Here is a 14659-nt window from a genome sequence, read left to right as displayed (position 1 = left end):
TCACCTAGGTTTGGTGCATAGGGGAATGAATAGTAGTAGTTAGACTCCACGACACGAAAAATGAAAGTGTATTCTAGGCAAAAGAACTTGAGTAAAGTGGAGGTATTGAAAAACACTGCAGTGTGTTTGTAAGAGAAATACACTAGCTGTTCAGTGCTGCTGATACACAAATATTAAGAGGGGAAAATGATAAACTAGGTTGTAGAGTTAGGTAGGGGGCTTCATCTCATAGGGCTCTACACTCAATGTTAAAGATATTATTCTTTACACTGTGGTCAGAAAATATATTTTTAGCAGGGACATGGCATAGTCAGATCTGTATGCTAGGTAGGTCATTCTGAGAGCTCTGTGGAGTTGAGAGCTGACAGAAAATACTCATATTTACAGCAGGAGAAATCAGTTGTAGGGCTTTGGAGCAATCCAAGAGAGAAATGGAAATCTGAACTAAGGTGGAAATGTTGGAGATAGAAAATCATGTGATTGAGTAAGGAATCCCTCAGTTTCAAGTGACAGGGATTTCAACCCAGAATGCCACAAACAGAAGAAATAAAAAGCCCAGATATAAGCACAAATTGATAAGAGGCACAAATGATGCCATTATGCTATCCCCAGCTTCTGTGTGCCAGCTGTTCTTCTCCCAATTGAGCTCTATTTTTAGGCATTTTCGTCTCCTGTGGTGACAAAGTGGAAATAAGAGCTCCAGTCTCATAGCTCAGTAATTCCAAGCCCAATAAAAGAGCTTGTTTTGTAACAAATTGTATAAAAATCTTGAGATTTTCTTGGTTATACCAGCAAAAACCACATGCAGAACCATGAACAATTCACAGTGACAGACTGTATATAATGGATGAAGAAAATAGTCAGAGGACTTGAGTTTCTCCAGCATTAAAAAAAAAAAAAGTTTATAGTGAATGCCAAACAATACAGCATGGAGGAATGAAGAGTTAGGTTCTGTTGCCCTTGAGTAAGATATACAAACATTCTACGAAACCTTGGATCCAGTAAATAAGATGGGTTGAGGTTCTTTTTCTAACCGCCACCACCAACAAAAAACCCAACCTTATTGCTAACGTTCATTTTATTTCCTAGCCAAAAATATATATATTCATAAAGAAATGAAAAAATGAGTCTAAATCTTAGAAGAGATCTACATTGCAGATGGTTTGGTTTGAGTATTATCAAAATATGTATGCTAATTAGACTTGTATGTGATCACCAGGAAGTGTGAAGGATAAAAAGCATGCCATATTGAGGAGAAAATATTGTTTTATAATGATAATTATTATTGTACATCACTATATTCCTGATTATACTCATGCACTATTTCATTTATTTCTTACAACAGTTCTGTGAACTCCATTTGAAGTATGAAAAAACCTAGGCCCCAGAGATTTTTTTCATTTTGTAACTTTTTTCTTGCCCAGGTCAATATTAGCAGGAATAATACAGCTTAAATTATTAAATTATTGGGGAAGAGTCTCAGCCCATGTTACTTGTCACAACTTATCAAGATATAAAATCACCAATTCAACTGTTAAGGCACTTATTAAAACAACCATCAAAACTGTTTTCAGGAATTTTATTGCTTGATTCAACATTTTGTTCCATAAAATGAAAATTAGTCAATGTCATCACCTCCCTTAACATTGGTAGAAGCTGCCAGGGGTACTTATGCAGATATAGAATACTTCATTCAAAAAAGTCATTGTCAATTCTATTTATATATAATACATTAATGAAATATGAGAATAGTCATCTATGGGCCCAGAATCACAAAATTTTGAAAAATAACTTTGTAAACTTATTTACCTTTTTAGAATTTTGTTATGAAAGTGCTGTTACCTAATATAATGTTTTGAAAATGTTACCATTTCTCACGCTTAGGCATTTCAAAAAAAAAGTAGAGTTACAAAAGATGTATTTTTTTCTGTACTTGCTTGTTTAGAGTTTATAACATAACAGAGAAAATAAAGTATGCTTATACAAATATAGGGGCTTATTTTTTTCATAAAAAAAAGAGTAGAAAAATTATACAAGAAATATTTGTTGGATTTACCATTACTGAATGTGAACTGACTTCAGCTAATTTTAACTCAAGCAATTTATTTTATTTGTTTTGGGGGCTGAGAACTTGTTCTTTTTTTCCTTGCCTGAATGCATTCTCATCGGGGGTGCACTTTCACTATGAGGTTCTATTATTTGCATGCAGTTATGTTAAAGAGGCAAAATCATGCAATGTGCCTCCCCATGAACCACCAAGTCTTACCCTCACAAAAGCTGGTGTTGCTTCATTGCTGCTGGAACATTCTCTCCTTCTTCTCTTTATATTATCTTTTTCTTCCCTGTAGGAAATTTATGCGTTTGAAGAGTAAAATAGATCCTGGGGGTCTCATTTATTCTTGCTTGGTTTATTTTGTTCCATATAACACCTCACACATTTCTTATAAATTAATAGAACTTATTCATTAGGATTTTTCTTCTGTTGTCACTTCAGCATATTTTCATAAATCATAAACAGTTACACTAAAGGCCACAGCAAATAACAAAATATTAGCTTCCTAAAAAAAAACCCCCACGTTAGGGCTAGATGGGTCAGAAAACACCCAGTTCATGATAGGCAGTTCAGGTCATATGGAGACTTGATGACACACAGTCAAACGTTCAGTTTCCGCTAAAGCCCAGTAACAGGCCAAGAGCTGCCTCTCAAAAGCAGAGTAGTTATCTGCAGAAGATGGTAGGGACTTGCTCCAAATCCTAGAGGCCTCTACTGTGATTCACCTATGGGGACCTGCCAAAGGCTCCAAACAGCACCCTTATCTGCCACTGACATCTCAGCCACCATTGGATCTTCTGGGTCATATAGCCCAAGTGGCAGAGCAGCTTGCACAGCAGCCTGGACCTGCTGCAGAGCTTTCTCCTGTTTTGGACCCCACTCAAAATTGGCAGCCTTTTGGGTCACTTGATAAATGGGCTTGAGTAACACACCCAAATGAGGAATGTTTTGCCTCCAGAATGCAAATAGGCCCACTAGGCATTGTGTCTTTTTCTTGGTTGCAGGAGAGGCCAAATGCAGCAACTTATCCTTCATCTTAAAAGGACTATCTCAACAGCCCCATACCACTGGACACCTAGAAATTTTACTGAGGTAGAAGGTCCCTGAATTTTAATTCAATTTATTTTCTATTCTCTGACAAATATCTCACAAGTAGGTTCAGTGTGTTTGCTACTTCTTGCTCACAGGATCCCATTAGCATAATGTCATCAACGTAACAGACCAGTGCAATATCTTGTAGAAGCAAAAAGTGATCAAGGTCTCTCTGAATAAGATTATAACACAAAGCCAGAGAATTGATATACCCCTGAGGCTGAACAGTAAACATATACTGCTGGCCTTGCCAGCTGCGGCAAATTGCTTCTGTTGAGCCTTATGGACAGAAATGGAAAAAAAAAGGCATTTGCCAAGCCAGTGGCTGCATACCGGGTGCCAAGAGATGTAATTTGCTCAAGCAATGAAAGCAAGTTTGGTACAGCAGCTGTAATTGGAGTCACCATTTTGTTAAGCTTACAGCAATCCACTGTCATTCTCCAAGATTCATCTTTCTTCTGCACCGGCAAAATGGGAGAGTTGAACGGGGATATGGTGGGAATCACCACCCCTGTGTCTTTCAAGTTCTTAATGGTGGCACTAATCTCTGCAATCCCTCCAGAGATGCAATATTGTTTTTGATTTACTAGTTTTCTAGGTAGAGGCAGGTCTAATGGCTTCCATTTGTTCTTTTCCAACATAATAACCCTCACCCTACCAGTCAGGGAGCCAATGTAGGGGTTCTGCCATCTGCTAAGTCAATGTCTATGCCAATTATGCTTTCTGGCACTGGGGAAATTACCACAGGATGAGTCCATGAACCCACTGGATCCACTGTAAGTCAGATCTGAGATAAAACTCCATTAATTACCTGACCTCCATAAGCCCCTACTTTAACTGGAGGACCACTATGACATTTTGGGCCCCTTGGAATCAACATCAGCTCAGAGCCAGTGTCCAGTAGTCCCCAAAATATCTGATCATTTCCCTTTCCCCAGTGCACAGTTACCCTTGTCAAAGGCTGTAGATATCCTTTAGAAAGAATGGGGGAAAGATTGACATGATATATTGTCAGTAGTGTATCTAGAAAGTAACTAACTTGCTTTTGATTTTACAGGCTCATAGGTGGAAGGGACTTGCCCTGTGTCAGATGAGACTTTGGACTGTGGACTTTTGTTAATACTGAAATGAGTTAAGACTTTGGGGGACTGTTGAAAAGGCATGATTGCTGTTGAAATGTGAGGACATGAGATTTGGGAGGGGCCACGAGTGGAATGATATGGTTTGGCTGTGTCCCCACCCAAATCTCACCTTAAATTCCCACATGTTGTGGGAGGTACCCAGTTGGAGGTAATTGAATCATGGGGGCAGGTCTTTCCCCTGCTGTTCTCATGATAGTGAATAAGTCTCACAAGATTTGACGGTTTTAAAAAGCAAACCTCTTTTGTAAATTGCCCAGTCTCTGGTATGTCTTTTTCAGCAGCATGAAAACTGACTAACACAGATTCCATAGGAGGGAGATTCTGTGATGCTGTCTTTGAAGATAAAGGAGGTCAAGTGGCAAGTAATGCGCATACTATCTAGTTATTGAGAGCGGCCCCCTGCTGACAGGTAGGAAGACAATAGAGACCTCAAATTTACAATTCAAAAGTTGTTCCACCAACAATGTTAATGAGCTTGGAAATGGGTTTTTCCCCAGAGCTTATAAATGAAGACACATGACAAATTTCTGCTTTCAGCCTAATGATACCTAGAGATTCCAGCCACATTGTTCTGGACTTCCACATAAAGAACTGTGAGGAAATAAATGGGTGTTGTTTTAAGTTGTTAAATTTATGGTAATTTGTTATACAGCAAAAGAAAACTAGCATACTTACATTCTGCATCACTAATTCCTATTGATTCAATTTTCTAATTTGCCCACTCTCCATCTCATTAACCAGCATCCTAGTCCAAATCACCATTAACTCTTACCTAGACTGCTAGTCACCCCACAGACATATCATCTGAACTATCCATTCTCTACATAGAGTATTCTTTTACAGACAAATTCTATTACTGTCACCTCTCTCCTGCTTTAAAACTGACAATGACTTATTATTTCTCTAAGAATAGAGGTTTTTAAAAATCCTTAACCCAAACTCTGGACATCTGTTAGGTTGGTGCAAAAGTCATTACTTTACACCAACCAAGTAATTTACATTTGCTTTTACAATAAAAGTAATGGCATAAACCGCAATGACTTTTGCACCAGATTAATATGTACTCTGATCTCATGCCCCTTCCCTTTTTTTCACATGACAGTCATATTGGTAATTTTTCAGTCCCAGAATGATGTTTCTTCCACCTCCTGTTCCTTTTCATGGAATACTCTCCCCTCTTCTTCAACTACTATTTCCCTGAGTCAATGCTTGTTAATCATGGAGACACTATTTAAAATTAGGTCCTCTAGGGAAATTTCCTTACCCTACAGGTTATTCTAGTCCTCTTTTTATATGATGTTGTAGCACACATAGCTTACTCTTCTCCCATAGCATTTAAATAGAATTATTTACAGGCAATTTTTTAAAGATCTGTATACATTCTTCAGTATTGCCAGTATTATGCATCAAATACTGTGCCAGATGGACTATGTGTGAAGCAGTAACTTATGACATATTTAAATGCATCAAAAGTAGAATCTCCAGAGCATTTCAACTGCCCCTTTTCTTTAACCCTCCCCATCACATATTGCCCGAATGACCTTGTTAATATGCAAAAATCAAAGCTTGTCACTTGTTACGGTTTGGTTTGCCCCTGTCAAAAGTCAAAACCTATGTTGAAATTTGATCTCCAATGTGGCAGCACTGAGGAGTAGCCAGTGAGAGGTGTTTGTGTCATAGGGATGGATTCCTCATGAGTAGATTCATGCCCTCCTAAGAGGGTGAGTTCTCACTCTCTCAGGAATAGGTTACTTCCCAAGAGAGCAGGTTGTTAAAAAGAGTCTGACTCCTTGGTTTCTCTCTCTTGCTTTTCACTATGTGATTTCTTTGCACATACCAGCTCCCTTTCCATTGTCCACCATGAGTTGAAGCAGTAAGAGGCCCTTCACCAGATGCAGATGCCCCATATTGAACTTTCCAGCCACCAGAATTATGAGCCAAATAAACCTCTTTTCTTTATAAACTAATGGGTCTCCGGTATTCTGTTACAGGAACACAAAACAGACCAAGACATCTCTCATTCTATAAACTGTTTAATGTTTCCCTGAGGCCCAGAACTTTTATGAAGGAAATAGAGTAGGGTGATAGGTATTAAAAGATAGTTTTCTAGGCTAATCCAACTGTATTAGTCTGTTCTCATGCTGCTACTAGAGACATGCCTAAGACTGGGTAATTTATAAAGGAAAGAGGCTTAATTGACTCACAGTTCAGCATGGCTGGGGAGGCCTCAGGAAACTTACAATCATAGTGGAAGCTGCAAACACATCCTTCTTCACATGGTGGCAGGAAGGAGAAGTACAGAGTGAAATGGGGGAAAGCCCCTCATAAAACCATCAGATCTTGTGAAATCTCACTATCATGAGAACAGCAAGGGGGAATTGCCTCCATGATCTAATCATCTTTCATGAAATCCCTTCCTCAACACGTGGGGATTACAATTTGAATTACAATTCAAGATCAGATATGGGTGGGGCCACAAAGCCAGACCATATCATCAAACTGTATAGTCAAAAAGAAAGAAAGTACAGCCAAGTTTGTATTTTGATCTCATTTCAGAGTATTGTATTTTGTAGAAATTAAACACATCCACATTTCTGATGCATAATATATGACTTGGCTCTGTGTCCTCACCCAAATCTCATCTTGAATTGTAATCCCCATGTGTTGAGAGAGGGACCTGATGGGAGTGATTGGATCATGGAGGCAGTTTCCCCCATGCTGTTCTCATGATAGTGAGGGAATTCTCATGAGATCTCATGGTTTTAAAAGTCTCATTTACCCCTGTGCTCTCTCTCTCTCCTGCTACTGCTGTGTAAGACATGCCTTGCTTCCATCTTTGTCTTTTGTAGTGATTGTAAGTTTCCTTAGGCCTCCCTGGCCGTGTGGAACTGTGAGTCAATTAAACCTTTTTTGTTTATAAATTATCCAGTCTCAGGCAGTATCTTTATAGCAGTGTGAAAATGGACTAATACAATAACCAGTGTATTTGCATTAATTTTAACCATTCTATTTTGTGTATTCTATAACGTATATCTTGTGTGGTTTATTTTCCTTTAATGGGTTGAAAGTATTTCATTTTTTCACTTACCTATCTAGAAATATTTGATTTCTTTTGTTAATGGTAGCTAAGCAAAAATTTTTATGCCCACTTAATCTTGTATTTTCTATTAAAAATCTAGCATTAATTAGTCTTTGACTTCCTATTAAATAAAGCAAAAGTCTTTGTGAGCCTTTAAACCCAATACTCCAAAACACCTGTGCACATTCACTTGTACACACAACTCGAATGCTGTAACCCAGAATTTTAGTTAATAATTATTACCATTTTTCTTTAATGTCATGCATCAATAGTAACTTAGATATAACTATAGATTTTACAGCTATTTAAATGTTACTGCGTGTTGTTCACCATTATTCCATGAATTCTACTTCATCCTTAGTCTTTATTTTCTTATTTTACTGGTGTGCATTTTTATCTAATTATCTCAAGTAAGGCCTGAGGGTGGTGAACGCTGAAAATATCTCTATTTTCTTCATTTCACCTAAATGCCAATGTTTTCCTGAGTGTAGGAAACTAGACACAACATAGTGTCTGCCTTAGTACTCTGTTGATACTGCTTCATTGTCTTCTAACAATTAGTCTGACTATGAGACATCTGATGTCAGCTTGGTTTTTCATTTTTTTGCAGGAAACCTGTTTCATTTTTTCTGAAAACCGTTAGTAATGCTTAGCTTTGTTAGGTGTGGCCCTTTGGTTTACTCACTCGACTCAGGATACTGTTTCCTCCCTCAACCCTCATTCCACACCATACTGCCCACTCCTAGCTAATGTCTTTTCATTTTTTTTTCAGTTCTGGAAAACTGTATTATTCATTTAATTTTTTCCTCTCTACCATTTTTCAGTTTCATACTTCAGAAATTCCTCTGAGGTATACACTGAAACTTTTTGAAGTGTCTTCTATGTCTCTGAACTTTTATGTCACACTTTCAACTTCATTTTTTCCCTCTTTTTAATTTATTCTGACAGATGACTGCAGTTTAGGTTTTCAATTAATATTTACTAACTGTATTTATTTAACTGTACTTATTTTAGCCCTTCTTTCAAACCTTAATTTTAATGATTTTTTTTTTGAAACGTAGTCTTGCTCTGGAGTGCAGTGGCATGACGCTGGGTCACTGCAACCTCCACCTCCCAGGTTCAAGTGATTCTCCTGCCTCAGCCTTCCAAGTAGCTGGGATTACAGGTGCCCACCACCACGCCTGGCTAATTTTTGTATTTTTAGTAGAGATGGGGTTTCACCATGTTGTCCAGGCTGGTCTTGAACTCCTGACCTCAAGTTATACGCCTGCCTCGGCCTCCCAAAGTGCCAGGATTACAGGTGTGAGCCACTGTGCCCAGCCGGGATTTTTTTATTTTTAAAATATATGACTGATCTCTCTCCAATGATTCTTATTTTATAGATGTGATAGTTTAATATCTTCTTTTGTTCATGCTGTTAAATGAAAACACTCTTCAGGATATTATCCAGGAGAACTTCCCCAACCTAGCAAGACAGGTGAACGTTCAAATTCAGGAAATACAGAGAACAAAAACAAAGATACTCCTCAAGAAGAGAAACCACAAGACGCATAATTGTCAGATTTACCAAGGTTGAAATGAAGGAAAAAATGTTAAGGGCAGCCAGAGAGAAAGGTCGGGTTACCCACAAAGGGAAACCCATCAGACTAACAGCGGATCTCTCAGCAGAAACTCTACAAGCCTGAAGAGATTGGGGGCCAATATTCAACATTCTTAAAGAAAAAAATTTTCAACCCAGAATTTCATATCCAGTCAAACTAAGTTTCATAAGTGAAGGAGAAATAGAATCCTTTACAGACAAGCAAATGCTGAGAGATTTTTGTCACCACCAGGACTATCTTTAATTCTTTTCAACATTTGTGGCTAAGAGATTTTTTTCCAATGTCATTATAGATTTATTCTTCATTTTTTTTTTCTTTTTAAACCAAAGATTTGGTGTAGGTAGGGAGGGTCGATTTACATTCTGAATCAGTTTGTTATTACTGATCTTCTGAAGCCTACTTCTGTCAACTCCTCAGTCATTCTCCGTCCAGCATTGTTCCATTGCTGGCTAGGAGCTGTGACCCTTTGGAGGAGAAGAGGCACTCTGATTTTTAGAATTTTCAGCTTTTCTGCTCTGGTTTCTCCCCATCTTTGTGATTTTATGCTGCTAATAATTAGCTTATCTCTATAAGACTGGGGAACCTTAGGCATGCAATAAAGTTTTTTAAAAGATAAAATAGTAAGTGATTTGCATAAGAGGACTGAAATATGAAACCCCTAGTTCAAAGTTCATTTTTTAGTTAATACTATATAACTGCTTTTGGATGTATATTTTACTCAGTTCTCTACCTGAAGAATTAGTAGCAGTTTTTTTATTAAATGCCAAGTGAGTAGTTAAAGAAATAACACAATTTTGTGCATTATAAGAACTTCCTTTATACTAGTAAGTAATTGATAGAAAAATAGTTACTGTCACATGTTCCTAGAGCCCAAGGGAATTTTGACAAAACCTGAACACTTCATTAGAAAATCATTAAGATGACAAAGTGAATCGTTCTTGCTGGTAAATATATTTAGAAATTCTTTTTTAACTGATAAGTGTAATAGAAGAACAGAAACTTATTATGTTATTAGTTGGAAATTTTAACTATTATCTGCAAGATATTTTATAAAGAGACAAACATGATAATCATTCTTTTCACTCTTTTCCACAAAGTGAAATTCTTTATTCCCAGAATTCTTTAGCAAGAATAGTCATAGTTAAATAATGTCAAACACAAAATGACCCTAAATCACATATTCTTATTCATTTTGAATTTCCCCTCAGAAGTGAAGTGATCAGAATTAAATCACTGATGGCAAAAATAAGCCATAAAAGTATTTACACACAAGAAATACAATTGTATTAAACTGCCATATACATGCTAACAATAGATTTTATTAAAGATATGGTGATAAAATACCCATTTAAAGTATCATAAAACAGAAATTTATTCAAAAAAATTTTACAACCGAAACAACAACAAAATGTGTTTTCTTCTGGTCCACATTCTTTGAGGACTTAGGACATGGACTTTGTTCTAATGTGGGATATGTATTAAAAGCAGCACATTCCATACATGTTAAATATAATGTAAATAGCAATTTATTTAGAAAAATAATTAGAATTAATGGTAGCAATATTAGTTAGCCTGTATCAATATATTCCTATGTGACTATGTATTAGGTTTGGAAACTTCTTATGTATTATTTTATTTACTCATCACAACAATGGGAAGGTCTTATTTCTTTTCATATTTTTAGAGGCAAAAACTGCAATTTGGGGAAGTTAAGTAACTCTATCAAAGTGAACAAGTTTAGAGGTAGCAGAACCAATATTTGCACTCAGCATCTTCTGTCTCAGTGTTTCTGTTGTTATTACTATGCTATATAGCTACTGGCTTTTGAATAATAGTTTCCAGTTTATCAACTTCTTTTGTATTGCCAAAGTAAAATTGCTATATTAATTTTTCACTACAAAAGGAGGCAACTAAAAAATAATAATAATAAACCTAGTACTCATGTACTAGTAAATTAATGCACAGAACCATCTCTTGGGCATGTGAAGAATAATAGTGTTCCCAATGCTGATCAAAGTTTTGAAATTAGACCAGGTATAATGTGTCAGGACATCTGCAACCTTGATTCATTGAAAACCTAAGTGTGACTTCAAAACTAACATAGTTCTTTATAAACTGCTTTTCATAAATTAAGTCAAGTTTTCAAGGCCTGTGATGGATAATTTTATGTGTCAACTTGACTGGGCCATGTGTGCCCAGATATTTGGTCAAATATTATTTTCAGTGTGTCTGTGAGGGTGTTTTTGAATGAGAATCACCTTTGAATATGTGGACTGAATAAAGCAGATTGCCTTTACTAATGTGGGTGAGCCTCATTTAATCAATTGAAGTCTGGCATAGAACAAAAATACTGACCCTCCAGCAAATAAGAAGGAACTCTTCCTGCTAGACTGGAGCTGGGACATTTTGTTTGTTTGTTTCTGTCCTTCAGACTCTATGATACAACATCAGCTTTTCTTCAGTGTGGAGCCTGTTGGCTTTCAGACTGGAACCTACACCATTGGTTCTCCTCGAGTACCCATCAGCTCTCCTGGGTATCTAGCTTGCCAACTTCAGATCTTGAGATTTAGCTTACGTAATTTCATGAACCAGTTCCTTATAATCACTCTCTCTCTCTCTCTCTGTGTGTGTGTGTGTGTGTGTGTGTGTGTGTGTGTGTGTGTGTGTGTGTGTGTGTATGTAAACATATACACATCCTATCATTTTTGTTTCTTGGAAAACACCGGCTAATACAAAGCCTTTTCCTTTAATTTGTAACATCCACATTTCTTCAAGCCAGGGATATGTTTTAATTAAGATTACAATACAATGTTCTCAAATTCCTTTTGAAAAATAGGCGTGATTAATCCTCCTTCGTGACTGAGCTAGACCATGAAAGCAGATACCATCTTCAGAATTGCTGTGGCAGCATGAACACAGCAAAAGTACAGGAAAAGGAGCCACAAGTTTTCATCCTTGACTTGCTGTGGAACCAAGCCACAAGCTCTTCAAGGATGCTGTCCTTTGAAGTAAATTCATTCAGTGTGATGACCCCTAAGACTACTTCATTTCTAAAGGCCTATTCATTATCAATCATATGTTTAAACTCCACTTTGGTTCTTGAACCATTCTGTTTGAGGAAAAACTCTCTAAAATCATGTTTTTCCACTGCTTTCACACTACAACCAAAATAACAGTCAACACAGAAGAAGACGTCTGTGACAAAACGTGTGGGGGTCTTTCTTCACAAACCAAGCAACAGACACCCTCTGGGTGTCCTTCAGTTCAATTCTGACACTATCTATTTGGAGATCCCAAAGGTTGGGGGCTCAGTCCCCAAGACTGCCCCCACGCAGATACCATTCACAAGTCTGGGCTTCTGGAACTTCTGATGAACTCTTCAAATTGAGATCCAATTGATCCCTACTTTAGGCTTGAATAACTGGCTGGGGCAGCACACAGAACTCAGGGAAACAGTTACTAATGTTTATAGGTTTATTATAAAGGATATTACACAGGATAAAGATGAAGAGATATGGGGCAAAGTATGGGAGAAAAGGCATGAAGCGTCCCTGCCCTTCCTGGATGCACCACCCTTCAGGAACCTCAGCGTGGTCAGCTATCCAGAATCTCTCTGAACCCTGTTTTGTTGTTGTTGTTGTTGTTGTTGTTGTTGTTGTTGTTTTTTATGGAGGCTTCATTACCTAGGCATGATTGATATCTGTGTGGAAATATAATTGGACAAAAGCACATGATCTAAGCCTAGCAAGGCCTGTCTATTCAGATTTTTCTTGGCCTCTATGTAGCATTTCTTCCTCTAAGATATGGAGCAGGACCCTTTCTGGAGGGTCTTTTGACCCAGAATCAGATTAGAGTCCTGTCATGGGCAAATGAAAGGACAATAGGAAAGGGCAGAGAGAGAGAGAGAGAAATTCTGTTTCCTGAGGCCTACTCCCAAGACATAATATACTCAACATTATAACAAAAGACTGTAACAAGGGCCATAAGAGTTATAAGCAAGAATCGTGGACAAAAACCAACACATACACATAATCATAATGTCCCAGGTTCTTTACTATCCTCCTTGTCATTTCACAATGTCCCCAACCCCATTCCCTTCTGGAAATTAAACTTTTGCTGTTTACAGTGTTGTTCTGTAGATCAACAGCATCAATATCACCTAGGAAGTTATTAGACATCCAGAGCCCCATATCCCAACCCAAACCTGCTAATTAGAATCCGGGTTATAACAAGGCCTGTGAGTGATTTGTCTAGACATTAATATTTAAGAATTGTTCTAGCCCAAAGCTACTATGGTTCAGTGAGAAAAGTAAAGAGATTTAACCATATTACTAATATTGTAGTTTTACATTTTATGGAGATCTTTTAGACCATGGACTCTGCAGACAACCCACTCATTTCACATCCCACCTTTACCACTTTTAGCTGTGGGATAAAAATAGGACTGAGAATATAAGTTGGTTTGCTTTAAACTGAGTAACATTTGTAAAGGTTAGAAGAGCGTCTACTTCATATATGTGTTACATATTAGCTTTATTGCACAAACATTCTTCATATCCCATCACCACACACTTCTGGTTTCAAACTTCAGTTATATAAGCCCCTTATTCTTGTGAGAGAATGTGTCTAATTGATATTCTAACAATGTCTAATGTCTCTAATTTTTTCAGACTTTTGCTTCTCTGCCTTGCTTTCTTCTTTCTCTTTTTGTCCTTTTCTCTTTCTTTTCCCTCTCTCTCTTTTTTTTTTCCTTCTTTCATTTTGCAAAGTTGAGTGCCTCTTTGTCCCTCCTCCCACTCTGCCCACAAACATTCTTTGTGGTATAAACCTCAGGGATACTTTTGAAGAGGTATGGAAATGTTTGGCTCCAAATTGTAATTCTGTTATAAGCCAAAGCTAGCAGCGTGAGTGCTGCAGTATCCCAAAAGAAAAAAAAAAGTACCTAGTGGGTTACATTTATTATTCCTTTTAGAATTGACCTTCTCTGTGGAAGAGCCTTGGGGAGACAGCAGAGCAAATTCAATGGCTCAGGATTTGGAATTAGAAATTAGGCATGCAACTTCTGTCTTTACAAACTCTTACTAACCATGTGGCCAAGAACAAGTTTCCTAATTGCCCTGAACATTGACATACTCATCTGTAAACTATTACAGAGTTACTCTAAGTGTTCTAAGAGACAATGCATGTAAAGTGCTTAGCATAATTCCTGAAACTTAGCAAATTCTTACATATGTTAGCTCTCCACACCATTTTTATTATTATAAACAGTATGAATCAATGAAGCAACAAGAGATCAATTGCTCTCAGAAGGGCAAAGCCCAAATATACAAGTCTAACTCATTAAAATGACTTATAGTTTCTCCTTCCTTTTCCTTTAAATTTTGGTTCTTGCCTGAATTTTTAATTTGAAACTCTCCATCTTGCACAGAGTAGAGTCAGTCTTTCCCCTCATTTTCTCTCTTTTTATTCCTCGTTCTTGCTGTAACTTTCTCTTCCTGTAATTCTTTCTTCTTTAATTTACTCTTCCTTCTTTCCACTCCATCCAATGTTTTTAGTTGTTCTTGTCTTTCTAGAAATTTTCAGTTAGCTTTTTCACATGTATTTTTCTAAGAAAAAAATCTAAAATAATTTTTATGTGTCCCTATGTCATTAATTTTCTGTGTTCATCGTTGTATGTGATATCTCTGCAAAC

The 14659-nt window shown here is 37.2% G+C and overlaps 1 long non-coding RNA gene across 3 annotated transcripts in view, besides 1 other annotated feature; it reads right to left on the bottom strand.

Moving 5' to 3' along the window:
* The window catches only part of CALCRL-AS1 (CALCRL and TFPI antisense RNA 1), a 544253-nt gene that overhangs the window by 317680 nt on the left and 211914 nt on the right, over positions 1 to 14659 (bottom strand). The window lies entirely within an intron of this gene.
* Positions 4241 to 4947: an enhancer, noted in NCBI's record as "OCT4-NANOG hESC enhancer chr2:188089626-188090332 (GRCh37/hg19 assembly coordinates)". NCBI's record gives its function as "activates a minimal SCP1, AML or CMV promoter by ChIP-STARR-seq in primed H9 embryonic stem cells {active_cell/tissue: H9 hESC(primed)}" and the evidence as "EXISTENCE:reporter gene assay evidence [ECO:0000049][PMID:30033119]".

The sequence above is a fragment of the Homo sapiens genome, chromosome 2 (assembly GCF_000001405.40).
Source record: "Homo sapiens chromosome 2, GRCh38.p14 Primary Assembly".
Taxonomy (NCBI): Eukaryota; Metazoa; Chordata; class Mammalia; order Primates; family Hominidae; genus Homo; species Homo sapiens.
The sequence above is the reverse complement of the archived record's forward strand: the minus strand, read 5'-3'. Positions and strand labels throughout refer to the sequence as shown.